Genomic DNA, 18,244 nt, shown 5'->3' with positions numbered 1-18,244 from the left:
TGAAGGATCTTATGTTTCCAGGTTTTGATAAAGGGAAATAGTTTTGAACTCTAATGTTGGTGTTTTGGTGCACAAGTCACAGCCAGAGCTGGCCAGCTGGCCAGCCCTCCTGGTTTCTCACTGACACTACCTTCAAGCCCTCCCTGGCATGCGCTGCTGCAGACGCTCTTTGTGATGTCCTTATTCCACCAGCCAAGCCCGGCTCTTTCGTCCTGCTTGGTCTCAAAGTCAGCCTCTTTGTGGAGTCGTCTCCATTCCTCCTCCTCCAGAGTCTCCTCCTCTCATCCTCCCCTTCCCACCTCAGACATGCATAAGTTCCTCAGTCACAGCTTTGTCTCCATCCTGGCCACAGAAGAAACATGAGTTATAAGCTTCTGCTCTGATGACATTTTATGAAGTCATAGAGAGGCACCTATTGGGACACCCCAGGCAAAACACCTGGTAGTACCAGGACTCAAGTCTCCCCATTTCTCAAGTATAAAGGTTGTATTGGAAGCCTTCTGAAGTTTTCTCCCAGCCCTCAAGTTTTTAGCTCTCAATGGTACTATTTATGTTTGTCACATGAACTAATCTATAAGAGGCCCTGCCCTTCTAGAGGATGTGTAAATTCAGAGATGCGGCCCAGCTGCAGGCCACCACCCTGCTCCCTCCAGAATGAAACAGGCCCAGTTGAGTGACATCAGCAAACCGTGTCCAGACCGTATGATGGAATCTTTTGGGCTCTTATGACAATGTAATGTTGACATTTTTTGTTTTAAGGGAAAAACAAGTTATTTCATAAACATATTTCTTTTTAACCTCACTTTACTGTGTCCCAACCTCAGTGTTGTTGGGACAATCCTAGCAGACTGGGGATCACTGGCCAGGAAGTTCAGGGTCAGTGCCAGTCATGTAGGCCTTAAATCAGGCGGCCTTGAGCATCAAACTTAATGTTCCCTGTGGTCTTGGCAAGACATCAATGGACATGTTACTTACCCTTCCTGAGCTTGTTTTTCTGCAGCTCCAATTGGGCAGTAAGTTGCAAGGCTGCTGTGAGGCTAAGCAAGATCCTGTAACTGCGTGGTCTTCTATACATTGGAGGGGTCACTAATGATACCAGCTTCTCCTACTGTAGAGTTGGGACATGTCATGTCCCCAGTTGGGACCTGCCCCATTTCACATTCCAAGGTCTTCAGGGCATGCCCAGGAAAGATGGCAACAACTGAGCACCTTCCATCCAGGCACAGGCCTGGAGGCCATGCCCACAGCTGGACCCAGGGAGAGTGTCCCAGCCTGCCCTCCCCAATCCCAGTAAGCCAGACATGAGGACTCAGAGGCATTCCAGGTATTTGGGGGGAATCCAGAAGGCCTCCCAGAAACTGCAAGTGCTAGAAAGAATAAGATAAAACTACTATTGGACAGCCCATGTTTAGCAAAAATAGAAAGGGGGCAGTTGAATGAGAAGAAAATGAGGGATGGAATATTCAGAAGAAAGGGACTTGGAGTTTTATTAAGCCCCAATATTTTTACTTATTTTGCTATTAACTTATATCCTGTCATGTTCCAAAGAGAATTAGACATGGCAAACCAAGCACTAAAGTGCAGGCCAGTTTGCGCCAGCCCAGCAACCTATAGCAGCTTGAAGGGAACAATTTGGTCCCATGTCCAGTTCCTGTGGGAGTAAGGGAATAAGGTGGTGAGTGTGGAGGACCATCCCACCACTCCCCTGACCTCTGTCAGCAGGCAGGGCCATGTGCCCAGCAGGTAGGGGTCCCCACGGCAGCTGCTCACGCATGTGTCCCAGGGTCACTTGGAGCACCTCATAGGAGATGCTGAGCAGAAGCTGCGGAGCTTCACCCTGGCACCCTCGCATCCCCCTCACCTACCAGTTCTGGCTAATCATTCTCCAGTTTCAATGGCTTCGCCTCCAGGAGTTGCCACTCTTCGGATGCTACCTAGGCTCCTGGAATCACTGTGGCTGCCTGGGCAGAAGGCCAGGGAACTGGGACTTTACATCGCCCTTCCCAGGGCAGCCAGAAGCCAAGAGGCCCTGAACACCCAGCTCCCTTGCTCGAGGCCACACTGCCCTGAGGAGTAACTAAGCTCCAAAGCTCCCCACAGGATTGCTCCCAGCCTGCTTTTCTGCTTCACCTCACCCTTGCCCATGTCTCCTGAGAGCACTTCCCCATATATCCCTTGCACAGGAATCCTGGTCTCCAGAGCCCAGCCTAAGGCCCAAGACAGACACCAGAGCTGCTTCTCTCCTTGGACATCCCCTCTTAGAAAACCACTATGGCTTTGCAGTTTCCTCTAAGACTTGGGGCCACGTCATCTGTAGGTCCCAGCTGATGGGACTGCTATATATACACCTGTCTCAAATTGGATCCAGATTCTCTTTCAGAAATGCTGGTTAAGCAGCTTCAGGCACTCCATCATAAGGCAATGTAAACGAAGGGCATAAGGGAACAATTTGGGGTGGCTTGGGTGATCCTTCTACACACAAGCAAAAGAGAAGCAGGTGCAGGAGACCACATGGCCCGTCCACTTCCTCATGAGTCCTTGGACCTCAGGAGAGACCCCTACTTATGTTGAATCTCTTGCTCCATGAATTACCAGAAGTAAAAGATCTCTGACCAGGCAACCATAGATGTTTTTTTAAACACCCCAGGCACCTCCCAATCAATCCATGTCCCTGAGGCTAGGGGATGAGGAGAAACCCCGAGAGGCCACTGTCCCTGTCTGGAGCCATGTCCATTCTCAACATCAGCCTAGCTTGGGTTTGCAGGAACCAGTAGTGGGACAGGCCCCTGGAAAGCATGGGAAAGCCTGGGTTTCTGGAGCCTGGGACAGACACCAGGGAGTATGGAGATGGCTTAGGGGACTCCAGCGACCCTAAAAGAGGCTGAGACCCCAGCAACCACCAGATGGTGTACTTACAGATGGGGAGCCAGTGAGATTTTGAAATGGGTGACATTCAGTTTTTCAAGATACCACTGTACCTTTAATTTATTAGCTTTCCATAAAAACACATAACATACACAATCTACAGTATAGAAAGTATAATTTACAAAAATATAAAATCTTGGTTATTTTTTAGTATTCCCACGTTACTATATGTGTTATTTCAATATGCATGTTTAAACAACCCACACTCAGCATGACTATCTCTGTGGGGAATGGTGTCAACGCCCTCCCTTTTTGTTGTTTTAAAATAAAATATATATATTAAGAAAAAGAAACCAATATTGGCTACATGTGCATACCATATGGATAAAAGCTCTGCAGTGGACTTTGAAAGGAAACACTCATTTACACCACGATTATCCTGTTTTCCAAAATCACTATGTGGCCCAAAGTGTTCTGAACTGAGCATTTAAACAGAGTTCTTTCCGTGTGCAGGGAGCGAGCGCCCTAAGATTTGCATAGTCTTCTTGCTCAGTTATGAGATGATGATCACATCAAGCCAATGTTGTGGATATGTTTTGTTTTCAAGCCTTCAGAACAGTGGGTATGAATGATGGGCCACTTTCAGGCCAGGGCTAATTCCCAGATTCCTTCAGGTACTCAGGCTGGCATTTAAGGGGCTAGTCACTAGCAATGAAAGACCCCCTAATGATGCACTGGCGGACAGCTCTCTCTGGGCCCCAGTGATGTTGCCCATGAGCTGTGCTCTGTGTCTGCAGCTGCACCACAAGTCCTGGTTGCAGAAGGCTCCGAGAAGGCAGCTCTGCTGGGCGTGGCTTCTTTCCACCCTGGAGTGGTCTCACCGGCAGGCACAGGTGTCCACGGACATGTTGGGGTACACCTTCAGAACCACATTCCGATTCTCATCCAGGAAGAGGACCCCAAGGGAGTTCATCTTATCGGGAACACAGCAGGGCTCTGGGATGCCAGGGATGATGCCCACAGCCCTGACAATGCTCTGGATGGTGGCATGGTTGGATGGACGAACGATCTGCAAGGCAGAAAAGGAGTAGGGTTACCTCAGCTCCGCCCTCACCCACCCACGCACCCATGCCATCCTCACAGTCCCAGGCCATACTGCTCTGCTGTTGTTCCCCGGCTGAGGCCACAGAATAGGCATCCACCTAGAGGAATGGACGAGATCCCAAGGCGGGGCACACGGTTCCTCTAAAATCAGACATACGCTGAGTTCCGGGCTGAGGTCTCCAAGAGCCCCCAGGCCTTCCTGCCCTTTGGCTTCCCTGAGGCACGCTGTGTCCCCAACACGGCAGGGCCACATGGGGGCGCCTGAGTGTCACACATCCCCGCGGAGCACCAGGAAGCAGGCAGAAGCTGCCCAGAGGGAAAACCCAGCGAGATGCCAGCACAGCCCTGGTCTCGCAGTCTGAGGAGGACAGGCATGCTTCTCACGAGGTTGTGCTCTTGTCACTGAAGGGAAGGCCTGGCATGTGCGTGGCAGTGTGACAGGCTGGACATTGACATTTCCTAGGGGCTGCTCTCCCTGCATCACCCCCTTTTTTTTGTCAGCTTAGCAATTTTATGGGGTGGGTATTACCTGGACTTTACTGGGAAGACACCGAGGTTTAAAATGACTGAGTAACTTGACCAAGACCCCTAGTTAGAAAGTGACCTGGCTTGGAAAACTGTGCCCACCTCTGACAAGATGAACCAACCGGGTCATCCACTTCAGTGCATCACCAGCCAAACAGAGATTTGTATATGTAGTGCTGTTGAGGAGGAAGCCCTCTTGTGTGGGTGTGGTGGGAAGGGAGCAGGGCAGGGACACCTGCCTTTGCAGCGTTCTGGCTGGTGTCCCGGAAGGTGGGGAGGCAGCAAGCCAGGGTGATAAGCTAACCGCATGGCCAACCAGCTGCAAGCCTTCAGGGTTCCGGGCTTGCATCTGCCTGGGTCTTTGCTAGGCCCTTTTAGCAGGCTCCGTCTCTATGTCAGGCACCTCCCTCTCTCTTGCACATGCACGGTTTTGAGGAGAAGTTTTGAGGAGAAGCCATTTAATTCCCAAACACGTTACTGCTGCCCCATGTCTGGGTCTGGACTTCCCCAGCTGGCTGATTATTTAAGTTCAAATTGGATTTATGCACTGACTTTCTTTTCTTGGAGGGAAAGGCATGACCTGCCCTGGGCAGAGTAACTAAGCAGGAAGAAACTGTGTGCTGAGTGCCGAGGGCTGACATCACAAGCAGCCAGGCTGCTGCAGAGCAGGCTGCAGGGAGAGGGATGGACTCAGCCACAGCCCAGTCTGGAGCGAAGGTGAGAACTGGAAATCCTTAGGCTGGTGCAACAGACAGAACAGCCCAGTGCTGTGTGTCCTGCAGACCCTGTGCACAGTGAAGGCCTATTCCCTGTGGATTCCTGCCCTGAGCTGCAAGGAGGAGGGAATCTACAGTGGGAGAGCTGCTGAGGCTAGCACTGTGCTAGTCACAGATTGCCACACTCTGGGGTCCAGGCTGGGAACAGAAATGAGAGCCTTGGTCAGGAGGGAGCTTCTGGGACCTGCCGTGTGTACAGGAAGCAGCATCTACTCAACCTCTGCAGATAGTTGCTATGTGGGGATGCGTTTCTAAAGACATGGATTCTCCTGCTTTTCAAAAGAATGTTCTCATTTTAAAGTCCCAATTCAACCAAGCCAATACTTCAAAAAACACAGCCAAACTCACACATATGTGGGCGGCAACTACCCTACGGGCTGCCACTTGGTGACCTATGTCTACCTATTTCCTGCCTGGAATAGATAGGAAGTACTGTTATTCCCATTTTGCAGATGGGGAAACAGAAGTCCTGCAGGCTGAGGAACTTGACGGTAGCGGCAGAGCTGAGCCTTAGAATTTGGCAAAAGGCGGAAGAAACCCTACCTTAGGCATGGGGAACTCACATGCTCCCGCGCAGTAGTAGGCATCAAAAGATTTCGGTGAGATTATCCATTCATTCCAGCCGATGTCTGCGAAGTCCACCTTCAGGTACCTCCGGGAGCACACCCTCGGCTCATCCCACTGCTTCCTCCGGGCTTTCTGCATCGTCTTCTCGTCAAAGTCCAGCACCTGCGAGGCGGCCATGAACACCTCCTGGCCCTTCTTCCTGCGGTCTTTGCGCCCTGGCCGGGGTTTCAGCGCCCGGAAGGGGCTGGGCCACAGCTGGTGCTTGTGGAAGTGCTGTGCGTGGGCGCGCGGCGGCCTCTCATCCAGCCCCGGCAGCTCGTTGTCCTGGAGGGGCCCAGTGGCCTGCGCGGCTCGGCGCACGCGGGGGTCCGCTGAGTTGTTGGGGGCTGCGCGGGGCTCGGGGTCTCCGGCAGGGAAGGGGTCGTATCTCTGCAGCGTCACTGCCACGCTGTTGGGCTCCGAGATGGCCAGATCGTTGGCATAGACTAGGATGTAGGGCGCATAGGGGCTGGGCCGGGGCACCCCCGGGTCCCTCTCCTCAGAATCCAGCTGGGCGGAGAGGAGCAGCTCGCCATCCCGGCGGGCCGCCTTGACGATGGGGGAGATGTCCTTGGCCTGCCACAGGCCGCGCGGTGGGGGCGCCAGGGCCATGGCCCCGCGGAGTAGCCCCTGTGTGGCCGTGTTCTGCGAGAGGCTGCGGAAGAGCAGGTGCTGGCGTGTGGGCGGGCCCAGGGGCAGCGGGCGGCCTGAAGCGTTCTTGGCCCGCGGCTTGCATAGCACCTCGAGCGCTCGAGGCCACCGAGGCGGCTCTGAGTAGAAGTGGAAAGTGGCCGTAAGGATCATTTCCGAGTCTTGCATGGAAGTCAGGTTGAAGAAATACACGGCCTTCTGGTCGACCACTTCTGTGAGGGAAGGAGAGACCACAGGCTGTGAAGTTCTCGCTCGTGCTCCTGAGGGTCTCCCACCCAGGGCTGGAGGAGCAAACGCCCACCGATCCACACTTTCAGGACCATCCTCCTCCCCCGCTTTGCTTCCCTCCTTTCGTGTAATCCTCACATGAAACTGATGAGGGCGCCCTTTGCAATCCTCAGTGCACAGGTGAGGAATTAAGGTTGAGATTGTCAATATCCCGTAGCAAACAACAACAACAACAAAAAGCAACAGCAAAGAAATAGGGGCAGACAGGGAGGCATTCGGGCCTGCTGGACTCCAAAGCTCCTGTTTGCTCCCCCTGCCCTCTACTGCCTCTGCATGCACAAATGAACAAATGTCACTGACACCTTCATTAAGTGCTCAGGATGGCTTGGGTTGGGTCCAAGCCCTGCATCAAGGCAGCCCCTCCTGTATTTGCACAGCCCTCTATTTATGCAATCAGTTTTTAAATGCAATCATTAAATACACTTCACATTAAACCCAAACATTCTTCCAAAAGAGACGAAATAAATAAACGCTCATGCTTTTTGAGCACCTCCTAAGGGAAACCAGGATCAAAAGTACAGCCATTTAGGCATCTGCTCTTTGTTCTGCCTGAGGACTTTTAAGATTGTTTTAACAAGAAAAGAGCAGCATCAGGATTACACAAGGCAACCTGACTAAATCTCCAAGGTCCAGGTAAAGACCGGGACGTCTCAACCATTACATCTGCAACTTGGTTCAAGAATGCTCCAGCTCCGGCTTCCCTGGGGCTGCCGGCCACTCCTTCCTATTTGCCTGGTGGAAGCAGGCGTTCCCCAGGGCACCAGGGCAGCACAGCCATGTCAGCAGTCCCAGGAAGCTGCCCCAACCTTGGCAGCAGCATGAGTATTGTGTCAGGTTTGAATCGCCTAAACATTATTATATATCAGTGAGCGTTCTCAAATGGCCAAGTCCGCTCTAGGCTTCTGAGGAGTGGGGAGTCTTTCCTGGTGCCTCCCTAGGATGCCGCACACTAACAGGACACCAGAGAGGCCAGGCTGGCTTTCTCCTTTCCACTGCTTCATTTCCTGACAACGAAGTGTCCTTCTGCTGGGGAACGTCTGGAGAGGAGCAGGGCTCCCAAGCCCGGGAAGTGTGTGTGGGGGACACTGGGCTCTCTAGGGGCATGGGTCAGGGCCACACCTCTCTGACCCCTGTACCTACAGCATCTGCAGGGATTTTTTTTTTTAACAGAAATATTCCACTTTCTCTTCTTTGTTTCTGTTGGGAAGAAGGCATAATTCAACTGGGATTGTTCACATACTCTTAAGGGACTATGAGCGGGAAGAAACAGAGAAGCACATCTATGGAAGGCCTGATAAATAAATGCCAGTAAAGGCTCAGGTGGCACTGAAGCCATTACCTTATTTAATCCTCACAACAAACCTGCCAGGACAGTGTCACAGCCCCTCAACATGCTCCACACATAAGCAGCAGCCCAGGGTCTCAATGCACACTTGAACCTGGCTTCCCCAAGCATGTGGCCTTGACTGCATAACAATGACTTCCACATTTTAATCAGCACTCCAGGGGACTCTGGCCATCAGGGAAGTTTGGGAAGTCAGTGGCAGCTGATAGCTCACTCCGGTGGTAGCGGTGGTGTATCTGCAGCATCTGGGGTTGACCGATGGATGGGGTGAAAGTTCACCAATAATGTTGCACCCCCCCATCCCCAAGCTAGAAAATGCCCTAGGAACCAAGCTCCCAGGACTCAGTGGCGCCACGCCCTGAACCTTGCTTTCCCCATCTGCCTCACAGGGACAACAGCCTCCATCTCACACAGAGGATTGTCTGGAAGATCACAGAAACAGCCTAGTGAAGTGCCAGGTACAAAGGAGGTGCCCCCAAATGTGCTTTCTGCCTCTTGAATCTAAAGGACCAAGGCTGGCAGAGCAAGCTCCCCTCCATCAACTGGGGTACCTTGCATTCACTGATCCAAATATCTGAGCTGCAACCCAGCCAACACAGCACATTGTTTTTCTTTGATCCAGTTCAAGTCTCAACTCCTCCATTGTTCTGCTAACAGATTCAGAGTGGGGAGGAACCTTTGAGGTTGTGCAAAAGGGTATAAGTCCTACCTCCATGTGGCTTGAATGCCTCCTGCCAGAGGGAGCTCAGCCCTCACTGGGCAGCCTGCTCTGGGAAGACCCTCCCTGCTGGGGACTGCTGGGGACAAGATGGGTCACCCCCAGCCCCAGTGCATGAGGGACCACAGGCTGGTCCTCTCTCTGGATGTTTCTGCATGTACGCAGTGCAGGGGGCTCCAGGCTGTGGCTCAGAGAAGGGACCTCAACCTGAAATCTTTCAGTTTAGCCGAGCCCAAGCCATAAGAGAGAAGCATTGAAGAGAACGTCATTATTTCCTCTGATGCGTGCTGGTGCTCTGTGATTCATGTCTTTTCTCTCTTCTTTCTTCTCTGCCTTCCTCCCTCCTCTCTTTTCTTCCCCTCTTTCCCCTTTTCTATCCACCCTCTTTTCCTTTCTTTCTTCCTCTTCTTCTCTTTGTTTTCCTGATAAAGATTTGCAAAACTCCTACTCCAGGCTAAGTTGGGCTGACCAGGGTCATAACAAAGTTGCCCAGGAGGAGTTCAGCCTAGAGGGGAGACAGATAACAAAGTTGCCCAGGAGGAGTTCAGCCTAGAGGGGAGACAGACTGGTAATGGCAATGACACCCGTCTTCAGTGTCTCCTCATGTCACAGTTTTAAAGAGCACTGTCCAAGCGAGGCCCCCGGTGTGCTGGGTGCATTCCATCACAGGTCACCCCCCAAGCTCGGAGCCCTCCATTGCCCCAAATAAAACTCAACCCCTTACCAAGGCCTTACTTGATCTGGCCTGCCTACCTCTGCAACTTTATCTCCTATCCACAGCCCAACCCCACCCCTCTGCCCCCGTCACACTGGCGTTCTTCTCCTTCCAACATGTGGCTTTATTCTCAGGACTGTGCCTCACGCTTCCTTCCACCTTCATGGTTCCCCATCCAGTACCACTCAACCTCTTCAGGTATCTGCTCAAATGGAACCTCCCACAATGGGTCCCCTGGGCTCCCGTGGCTGGAGAACAGCCTCATCACTCTGTCTGCCCCTGCTTCATTGGCCTTCAGAGCACTTCCTGACATCCTGCTGTATACTGATTTACTGCTCTTATCTTCCTAAAACATAAACTCTAACGGGACAGGGACACTGCCAGTTTTATTCACTACTGCACCGCTAGACCTCACCATAAGGCTTAGGTGACAGTTGGAGCTCAGAGATGCATGTTGAATGAGATTGTCTGTGAAAATCCTGCCCAAGTGGGCACAAGAGAAGTGTGGTCTGTTACTTCAGTTAACACTGGGGGTTCCTGGCATGCTTCCCTAGAGTGCAGTAACCACAGCCTTAAGAAGTCAAGGAATCCTCATTCTTTACAAAGATGCAGCTGATGATGCAAATCCAAATGGAGACAGTGGGCACCCAGGTGTTTAGCCAGACTTCCCCTTGAGCCTCAGTGTTCTCATCTTTAAATTGGAAGAAAATTGTTTATTAATTATGACATTCTGAGCTCCAAGTGTATGTGCTTGGTCCTATGCTGAGTGTTCTGCATGCTTGATTCATCATTTTCACCATGAAGAGAGTAGGGAGCGGTCATTCATTCTGTGGACAAAGAGCTGAAGCTTCAGAGAGGGTGTGCAATTTGCCTAAAGTCACACAGTTGGCAAGGGGTGGAGTCGGGGCTTGTACCCAGCTCTGTCTGACCCCAAGCCCATGCCTTTTGCTCCTCCATGTGTTCTGGATATGTTCATGATCTGCCTAAGAGCTAATGGACAAAGATCATGTGCTGTGAACTGCAGCACGTTTTGCAAACAGAGGTCATTATTTTGATATTTTTGAGTTCTGACTCCCTAAGAAGAGAAAGACTGACTTTATTTAGACAAGCTGATCTCAGTGGCTCTTGGGAATTCTCAGAACTGTGACCAGGTCCACTTTGCTGGGCACTCAGCCTCCTTCCTGAGGGCAGTGGGGATGGTACTGGGGGAAGGGACTTCCTCATCCAAAGGCCTGTCCAGCCCCACTGCTGGTCAACTCTCAGGCCAAGAGCAGCCCCTTAGATGCTCTGCCCTATATAAAAAGATTCCAAGACGGTTTGGAGATCTGTCCCTTCACCCACTGCCCCTCAAACAGCCACTAGGGCAATCAGTGAGAACGCTGGGCTTAGATGCATGCACCAACAGAAGCTGGAGGAAGGGGCGGTGGGCCAGACGGTGCTGCAGAGAAGAGCAGGGAACTAACACAGATTTAGTACTTAGTGCCCGTTTCCATGCAGGCTCTAGGGTTGAGGTTCAACGCCTGCTGGCATCCCTTACTAGCTGTGGGGACTCAGGCAAGTCATGGAGCCACTTTGTGCCTCAGTTTCCTCATTCATAAACTGGATAGAGTATTTGCACCTCCAAAAGTTATTGTGAGATCAGCTCTGCAGAGCGCACTAGCAGCACTGTGCCTGGCACCCAGCAAGGGCTCAGAACAGTTATGGCCTCAGGAACTATTGCCACCCTCAGGGCACTACACCCTTGCTCCCTGACCTCCTGCCCAGTGGGAGGCCTCACTTCTCCTCCAGCCCTTCCAGCAGGAGCCTGAGAACTCTTTTGCCTCTCCCATTCCTGCTTTTAACCAATCTCCAGGCCCTGTTTGCTCTGCTTCCTGTTTCTACACAACCATCCTGAACACAGCATCTTTCCACCCTGCGCTCAGGGCTCCAGACTCAACCACAACAGTGGTCCCAGAACTTTGTTCCCTCTTACATCGCACTCATGTCTCAAAAGCAAATTCTCTATTAGAAGTGAAAGGTTAAGATCCTTACTGTGTAAAGAACCTTTGCATATCAGTAGGACAAAGGAGGGACTCCCATACAAGGAGGCAGTTTCCACAGGAAGAATTGCAAATAGCCAGCAGGCATGGGGAAAAGTTCAAGATGACCAGTAATGAAAAAAAGTAATTTCAAATGGAAATACCTGCAAGTTTTACCTGCATGCTGAAAATATAATCCATAAAAGATGTATCCACATATATCTCACATATATATCTCTCAAATATATCCATATATCCATATATATCTTACATATAAGGGTAAAACAATGGAGATATAGATAGTGGAGACATAGATAGATAGATAGATATGGCTGGAATGATTCTACCAAAATATCATACTAACAATTCCGGTTATATCTGGCTATGTGATTAGGGATGACTTATGTTCTTTACTGTGATCTTCTATAATTTCCAGGTTTTCCCCAATAAGCATGCATTTATTTATAATCACTCTCTCTCCTTTATCCCTCTTTTTCCCTGCAGTCTCTCCTCTTCCTCCCTCTCTCTCCCTCTCTCCTTTCTCTCTCTCCCCTCTATTCTTCTCTCTCTCCCTCCTTCCTTCCTTCTGTCCCTTACGCATGCACGTTGTATATTGCCCCATTGCCTATGGGGGAACAAATTCATAATACTCATGGCTCTCCATGGCCTGCTTGCAACCTATTTGTCCGTCTCCATCTCCTGCCTTTCTCTCCTTGCGTTATCATTAAAACCAAACTCCTGGCAGTCTCTGAACACAGTGAACAGCTTCACTTCCGCACCTGGCTAAGGCCCACCTGCCCTTCAAAGTGGCTGGGGCCTGGCCTGCTCTGGGAAGGCTTTCCTGGCCCCACCCAGAGGCTCTGCCCCTGCCAGGTCAGTGCGCCTTTGGGCTCCCGCAGCACCCCTGCCCTCCTTCTTATATGCCACCCCCCAGGCCTGCTGCCCTATTCTGCTGCTTACTTTGATCTGCCCTGCTAGTTTATGAGCTTTTCTGGGCATCTTTGTGCTCCCTGAGCTTACAGCATCTGCTACCAAACGAAGTGCTTAGGGAATACTTGGGGAACTGAAATCAACTTGAATTTTGGCATTTTTGACAGGTGAGTATGTAGTATTATTTTCAATTTAGAGATGAAGAAAACCAACTCAGTATCACATTGGTAGGTGACAAAGCTTACATTTAAACACACGTCATTCAGTGGGAATTAGGGGTGGTCTAACCTTAACCCTTAGGGTCAGGTTCATAGGCTTTCCCCACCGATGCAGATTTAATAAGGAACGAAATTCACTTCAGGGAGCAATGAGGGAAGGAAGGAAGGGGTGGCTGGTATATCAACAGCAAGAGCTAATACACCATTGACACTTACCTGTGTCAGGAATGGTGTAAGCACTTGACATATCTCAGTTTCCATTAAAAAAAATCCTATAAGGAGGGGAGCACTATTAGCTCCATTTTAGAAGTGAAAAAAACTGAGTCATGGACAAGTTCAGTCCCTTGCCCAGATCGCAGAATTGGGATTTGGACCCCACGAGGCCAGCTCACAGCCAGCACTTGGCAGCTGAGCTGCACTGCCCGGTGGCGGGGGAGGTATAGTTACGTATCGCAGGCTGTGGGGATGGAGGCATTTGTTGTTCAGGAAGAGGTGCTGCCCCACTGAGGCAGCAGAAACCCACCACTGGGGAGCAGGCTGAGACTGGCATGTTCTCGGACCAGAGCTGAAGCCTCCCACATGGGTGGCATCATCCATGAGAGAAGGGTCCCTGCCCAAACTCATACCTCCTCAGACAGGTCACTGGATCAGGAAGTAGGCACATCTGAGGGCAGGCAAGAGGCTTGGCATGAAACACTCAGATGAATCAAGGGAGGAGAGGATCAAGCAACCTGCCTGGGCCCCCACTGTATGCAAAGCACAAAACCTGCTTAGCCCATTTAATCCTCACTTCTTCACTGTACTACAAGGAAACTGATGCTCAGAGAGGTAAACTAACCTGTGCCACTGCACACACCTGGTAGCTGGTACAGCTGGGATTCACACCCAAATGTGCCTCAGGCTTCCAAAGAAGAGGGATTTGTCAGACACTCCAGACTACCAGAATCCTGATTTCCCAGGCTTGTCTGTTTCACCCTACCCCTCCCAGACCCTGGTCATAGCTCTGAGGGAGATGACAGGGTGTGGGGAGTGACAGTGAGAACAGCAATGACCTGGCAGATGGGAGTTGCCAACCCCTGCCACTGTGAACAACCACTGAGTCTCAGTTTCCTTATCTTTAAAGTGGGAGTGCTGGATTTGAGATACTGTCTTCAGGTCCTTTTTGAGATTAATAACCTGAACTCCACTGCTACTTGTACTACCCCCTTTCTGTGAAAACAGAATGACACAAGAAGGCATCTCCATGCCTGGCTGCAGCAAGTAGATGGGCTCAGTGGGCAGGCTCACCCGTGTCGCAGCAGTGACCCTGCTGGCCTTGCTTCCTCAACTACAAGGCTTTGAGGATTGAGTTAATAGAGAAGCAAGGTCAAGTTTAAACCCACAGGAATACACAATACTTAGCACGATTATTTGTGCTCCCAGGGGAATCCCGTACATCAACACTTAATCTGGCCAGTGCTGGGCTCTGAGCTTGCACATATGACCTCATTTCATCTTCCCTTCAACTGCACAGGGGAGATATTGGCAAGCCTTGCCCATTTTATCGATGAATACACTCAAGTCCACCTAGCTTTAGTGATTTACCCAAGGTCATGTTCATGCCAGATGATTCTTAAATGGTTTAATTTAATAACGTTCCTCAAGAAATGGACCCCACATGGTGCAAGAAAGTTATGAGTGAGGATGGAGTTAGATCCAATTGGCCTGGAGCCCAGGGCCACTGACCTGGTGAGTCTGCTAAGTGGAGGAGGAGGGCATGGGGCCTCTTTGTGGCAGGTGCTCCCCAATCCATGGTTATGAGAGGCCACAGATGTTACCTTGAGTCACACAGCCAGTGACAGATCTGACCCCAGGCTGTCTAGCTCCACAGCTAGGCTTGTTTCCCTCTCCCTCAGGAGGGGAGCCTGTAGACTGCAGATTTTTCTCCTGTTGAATGGCCTCATCTTCTGCAGAGCTGCAGGAGACCCCCACCCACATTTTCTGGAACATTATTCTGCAACCAGGAGTAATCACCATGACAACCAGGGTCTTCTCACCACCCCTGTGGCCCTGGCTGCACCTCCTCTCTACCCAGGGCCTGCAAAGGTGGGCAGGCTGCTGAGGCAGGAGCCTGGAAGTGCTCTCAGAACAGGGCAGCATGGGCCTTTGCAAGTGCCCTCTGCCCAGCTCCATCCAAGGGGCTGAGGAAGTGGAAAGGTGGGACAGAGGCCGGAGATAGGCAGAGTGTTCCCACTGCCTAAGCCCCTGGGCCTTTCCTTAAACCCCTGTGGTCTGAACGCTTCATGCCAGTCCGTGGAAGTCCTCAATCCCGGGCAGCCAAGGCCCTTCTCAGTCCACTCTGCTTCCCTGGACACAGGAACCATAGCTGACGCCAGCTAGGGGCTCCTGCTTCCTGACAGGGCCCAGTGCCTGGAGCTTCTGCAGGGCTGCCTATGTTCACTGGCTGTGCCCTTCTCATTTGTAAAATGCCCACATAATTGACCCTATGACAGGGATACTCCCCTGGCCTATGTCCCCTCTTCCACTCTCTGTGCTTACAGCCTTGTGTATGGGGTAGTCTGTGTATGTCCAGCAATGTGGGAGCACCCCAGGGGCAGGACCTCTGTGCCACCTGCTGCCACTCTTGGTGCCCCACTGGAGGTTCAGGGCCTGGCATGGAGAGATCAGTGAATCATTAGTGAAAGAATGAATGAACCACTCACCCGTTGGCTAGAAGAGGAAAAGTAGAGGTGCACGGGTGGGGAGACAGAAAAGTGAGGAAGGTGGAGAATGAGGAGAAGGGGTCCTGGGGCACCCTCTACTTACCCAGCCTGGCCCTGAAGCTGCGGACCGTGTTGCCCCCTCCCGGCCGCGCGCCCTGCCGGCTGTACTTCTCATAGAGCCTGTGCATGTGGACAGCGACCATGTCCTGGGCGCTGGGGCCCAACGTGGCGGCCGCGTCCCCAGGGTGCCGCTGGAGATCCCTGTCCCCCTGCAGGCCGTCGGCGGCCGCGGGCAGTGCGGACCAGGCGGGGGCCCTGTGGCTGCCGGCCACATCCCGGAGCAACAGCAGAAACAACGGCAGCAGCAGCAGCAGCAGCTGGGGCCCGGGTCCCGGGCTGGTCCGAGCGGGGACATGAGCCATGGCGTGGTGAGGGCGGCAAAGGGCCGAAGTCCAGGAGGAGGAAGGCGAGCGCTGGCGCACCGGAGGCTGCGGACTGACCTCGCGGCAGTAGGGCGCGCGGGGAGAGCCCGGGCAGCAGGGCGCTGGATACCGAGGTCCGCGCGGGGCGAGGGGCTTAGCGGAGCAGGCACCCGGGCGCGCGGTCCGTGGGTACCGGCGGCCCGAGCCCCCGGCCAGCGGTCACAGCCGTCCGGAGCAGCGCAGAGCCGAGCCGAGCCCGAGTCGGCGCGCTGCCTTGGCGGACTCGCGCCGCGAAAGTTTGTAGCCCACTGCGCGCCCGGCCCGGCTGCTTCGAGGGGCGGGGCGGGGCGGCCGGCTGCGCCCTCGAGGGGACCCGGCTGCGCGCCCCGGACCTCTGGGGCTGCAGCTGACAGGGTCGTCCCTGGCCCGGCTGCCGTGTGCGTGCGCCCGTGTGTGGCAGCGTGCGCGCGCCGGGGTGTGCGCCCGCGAGTGTGGGGGGCGTGGGCGAGCGCGCTCCCCGCTCCCCAGCCGAGAGCCCGAGACCCAGCCCCGCAGCCGGCTCCTGTGTGTCGGCGCCGCAGCCTGCCCTGGCTGCGAGGGGGGCTGGGCGGCAGTTGGAGGGGGGCCTGCCTGCTGGGTTGCCCCTGCAATGGCATGCGATGGCTATGTGATTGCAAGATGACAGCTCCCCTGTGAGGACCAGAGAGGGGATATGTGTGCGCCCAGTTGCCTCGGAGTCAGCGTATGTCCAAAATGTGAGAGTGTGGGGAACAGAGATCCTCTCTGGGCTGACTCCGTAAAGAAAAGCCCTCACCCCAAAGCTCATGCCACCCAAGGGAACTGGAACAAGATCGTGATTAAAACTCAGAATTAGCTCATTAACCAGCCCTTTATTTGACGAGAGTAATTTCAGTTGTTGAAGAAACACATCAAAGGTCCTTATTAATCTTTGGACATGTGGCCTTCAGGATTGCAGGAATAAGACATGCTTTCAATTTGCCTTTAAAAACATTTCCAAAGCATCAGAGCAGGAAGAGAGAAAGCAGTGGCTTTCCTAAGAAGGATTCCCAGTGAAGTGAGGGTGTAGTGAGTCCCTGGCCCACTGCCCCTCAGCTTAACCCTGGGGCAGAAGGTCCTGATCTTTGTCTTGCCTCTAGCAGGATTTCTTCTCCATTGATAGAATTCAAGGGCTCTTATGAACTTGATGGGGAAAAAAATACATCTTTATTTTCATTAACTCTAACTGAAACTTAGCATTAACTAATGTTATAAATGCAAGCAACCAACCACAGTGGTATTAGTGACTTTGTCACCAATAGGCACCATCCACAGATATTTTCATATCACATGAGAGTGGTTGCGGATTCATCAAAGTATCATGTTTGCTCATTACCACTTCAGTTAGGCCTACTGCTAGTTAGTTAGCAAAAAGGAACATAGTTACTATGTTACAAAATTGTTTTTAAATATTTGTGATAACTCTATTCTAACGTAATTGTCTTCCTTTGTAACTCTGCATATTTTATTTTATGCATTTAAAAACATTCTTTTAAGAAGGGGTCCACTGGCTTCCCTAGACTTAGAAGGGGGCCCAAGACCCACCTAAAAAGTTTAAGGACCCTTGAGAGGGAAGGAAAGGACCACGTCAAGCCCATGTTCTTCCAGAAAGCTCCCAGATACAGTCTATGCTACATTTCAAAGGACTATTTGCAAACTTGTGAACAGGCTGTTCCCTTTACTTGGTAACTTTGGGCTCTGTGAGCCAAAATAGTTACTTTTCTTGGAGGGCTCACAATGCAATAATTGAAAAATTGCTGGAAAAGGCTTCTGTTGGTGTGTAAAACATGACCCATTTGTAATTTTTTAAAATCTTGCAGTGTCAAATTAGAGGCCATCCTATTAAGAGCTTCTGAACCTCAGACTTGTAGCTTTTGGAAAACCAGAGAAAAGCATTTTATTTGTTTTGAAAATTAGATCACAGTGTGTTCAACTTCCCATTAGGATAGCTCCCATTTGTTCTGAACCAGTTTTCAAAAATGGTTTGCCTGGAAGTGAGATGATCGGGTCTCAGCCTGGGACTTAGTGAATCTCTCCTTATAAATGATCCAGACCATCTTTCAGTGGTCCCTTCCCCCACTCCCACCCCCATTTCCCTCCTTCTCCATGTGCCCCTCACTTCCCCTCTGTCCCCCTCTCCCCTTCCCCCCCAGAATGCCTCTGACCTGCACCGGCTGGGGGTAACCTCTGCTCATGGGTAGTTTTGTGTCTGTTGGGGCCATACACAATCGAGGCCTGTTGAAAAGGAGGGTGAGTCCGCAGGAGGCCCGCACAAGCTGGGCTATTTGGAATCCGTGTCCATTA

General features: G+C 52.0%; 1 protein-coding gene across 1 annotated transcript, besides 3 other annotated features; it reads right to left on the bottom strand.

Annotated features, from left to right (window-relative positions):
- GDF10 (growth differentiation factor 10) lies at positions 2,958-16,338 on the bottom strand. Its single transcript, NM_004962.5, has 3 exons — positions 15,565-16,338; positions 5,814-6,739; positions 2,958-3,934 (listed from the first exon to the last, which is right to left on the bottom strand). The coding sequence occupies exons 1-3, from the start codon at positions 15,881-15,883 to the stop codon at positions 3,743-3,745; spliced, it is 1,437 nt and encodes a 478-aa protein (NP_004953.1). The 5' UTR covers positions 15,884-16,338; the 3' UTR covers positions 2,958-3,742.
- Positions 4,106-4,606: an enhancer, noted in NCBI's record as "H3K4me1 hESC enhancer chr10:48426933-48427433 (GRCh37/hg19 assembly coordinates)". NCBI's record gives its function as "activates a minimal SCP1, AML or CMV promoter by ChIP-STARR-seq in naive H9 embryonic stem cells {active_cell/tissue: H9 hESC(naive)}" and the evidence as "EXISTENCE:reporter gene assay evidence [ECO:0000049][PMID:30033119]".
- Positions 4,156-4,305: an enhancer, noted in NCBI's record as "active region_3326". NCBI's record gives its function as "activates an Ori minimal core promoter by ATAC-STARR-seq in GM12878 lymphoblastoid cells {active_cell/tissue: GM12878}" and the evidence as "EXISTENCE:reporter gene assay evidence [ECO:0000049][PMID:35858748]".
- Positions 5,705-6,205: an enhancer, noted in NCBI's record as "H3K4me1 hESC enhancer chr10:48428532-48429032 (GRCh37/hg19 assembly coordinates)". NCBI's record gives its function as "activates a minimal SCP1, AML or CMV promoter by ChIP-STARR-seq in naive H9 embryonic stem cells {active_cell/tissue: H9 hESC(naive)}" and the evidence as "EXISTENCE:reporter gene assay evidence [ECO:0000049][PMID:30033119]".

Source organism: Homo sapiens, chromosome 10 (genome assembly GCF_000001405.40).
Source record: "Homo sapiens chromosome 10, GRCh38.p14 Primary Assembly".
Classification (NCBI taxonomy): domain Eukaryota; kingdom Metazoa; phylum Chordata; class Mammalia; order Primates; family Hominidae; genus Homo; species Homo sapiens.
The sequence above is the reverse complement of the archived record's forward strand: the minus strand, read 5'-3'. Positions and strand labels throughout refer to the sequence as shown.

What these genes read in the sequence shown, in the direction of transcription:
- GDF10 (NM_004962.5), bottom strand. Translation starts at nt 15,883, where the DNA reads ATGGCTCATGTCCCCGCTCGGACCAGCCCGGGACCCGGGCCCCAGCTG. An exon ending in CAGCTTCAGGGCCAGGCTGG is followed by an intron (nt 6,740 to 15,564) that starts GTAAGTAGAGGG and finishes CTTCCCTCACAG; the next exon opens with AAGTGGTCGACCAGAAGGCC. An exon ending in GTGAGTTCCCCATGCCTAAG is followed by an intron (nt 3,935 to 5,813) that starts GTAGGGTTTCTT and finishes TCTGCCTTGCAG; the next exon opens with ATCGTTCGTCCATCCAACCA.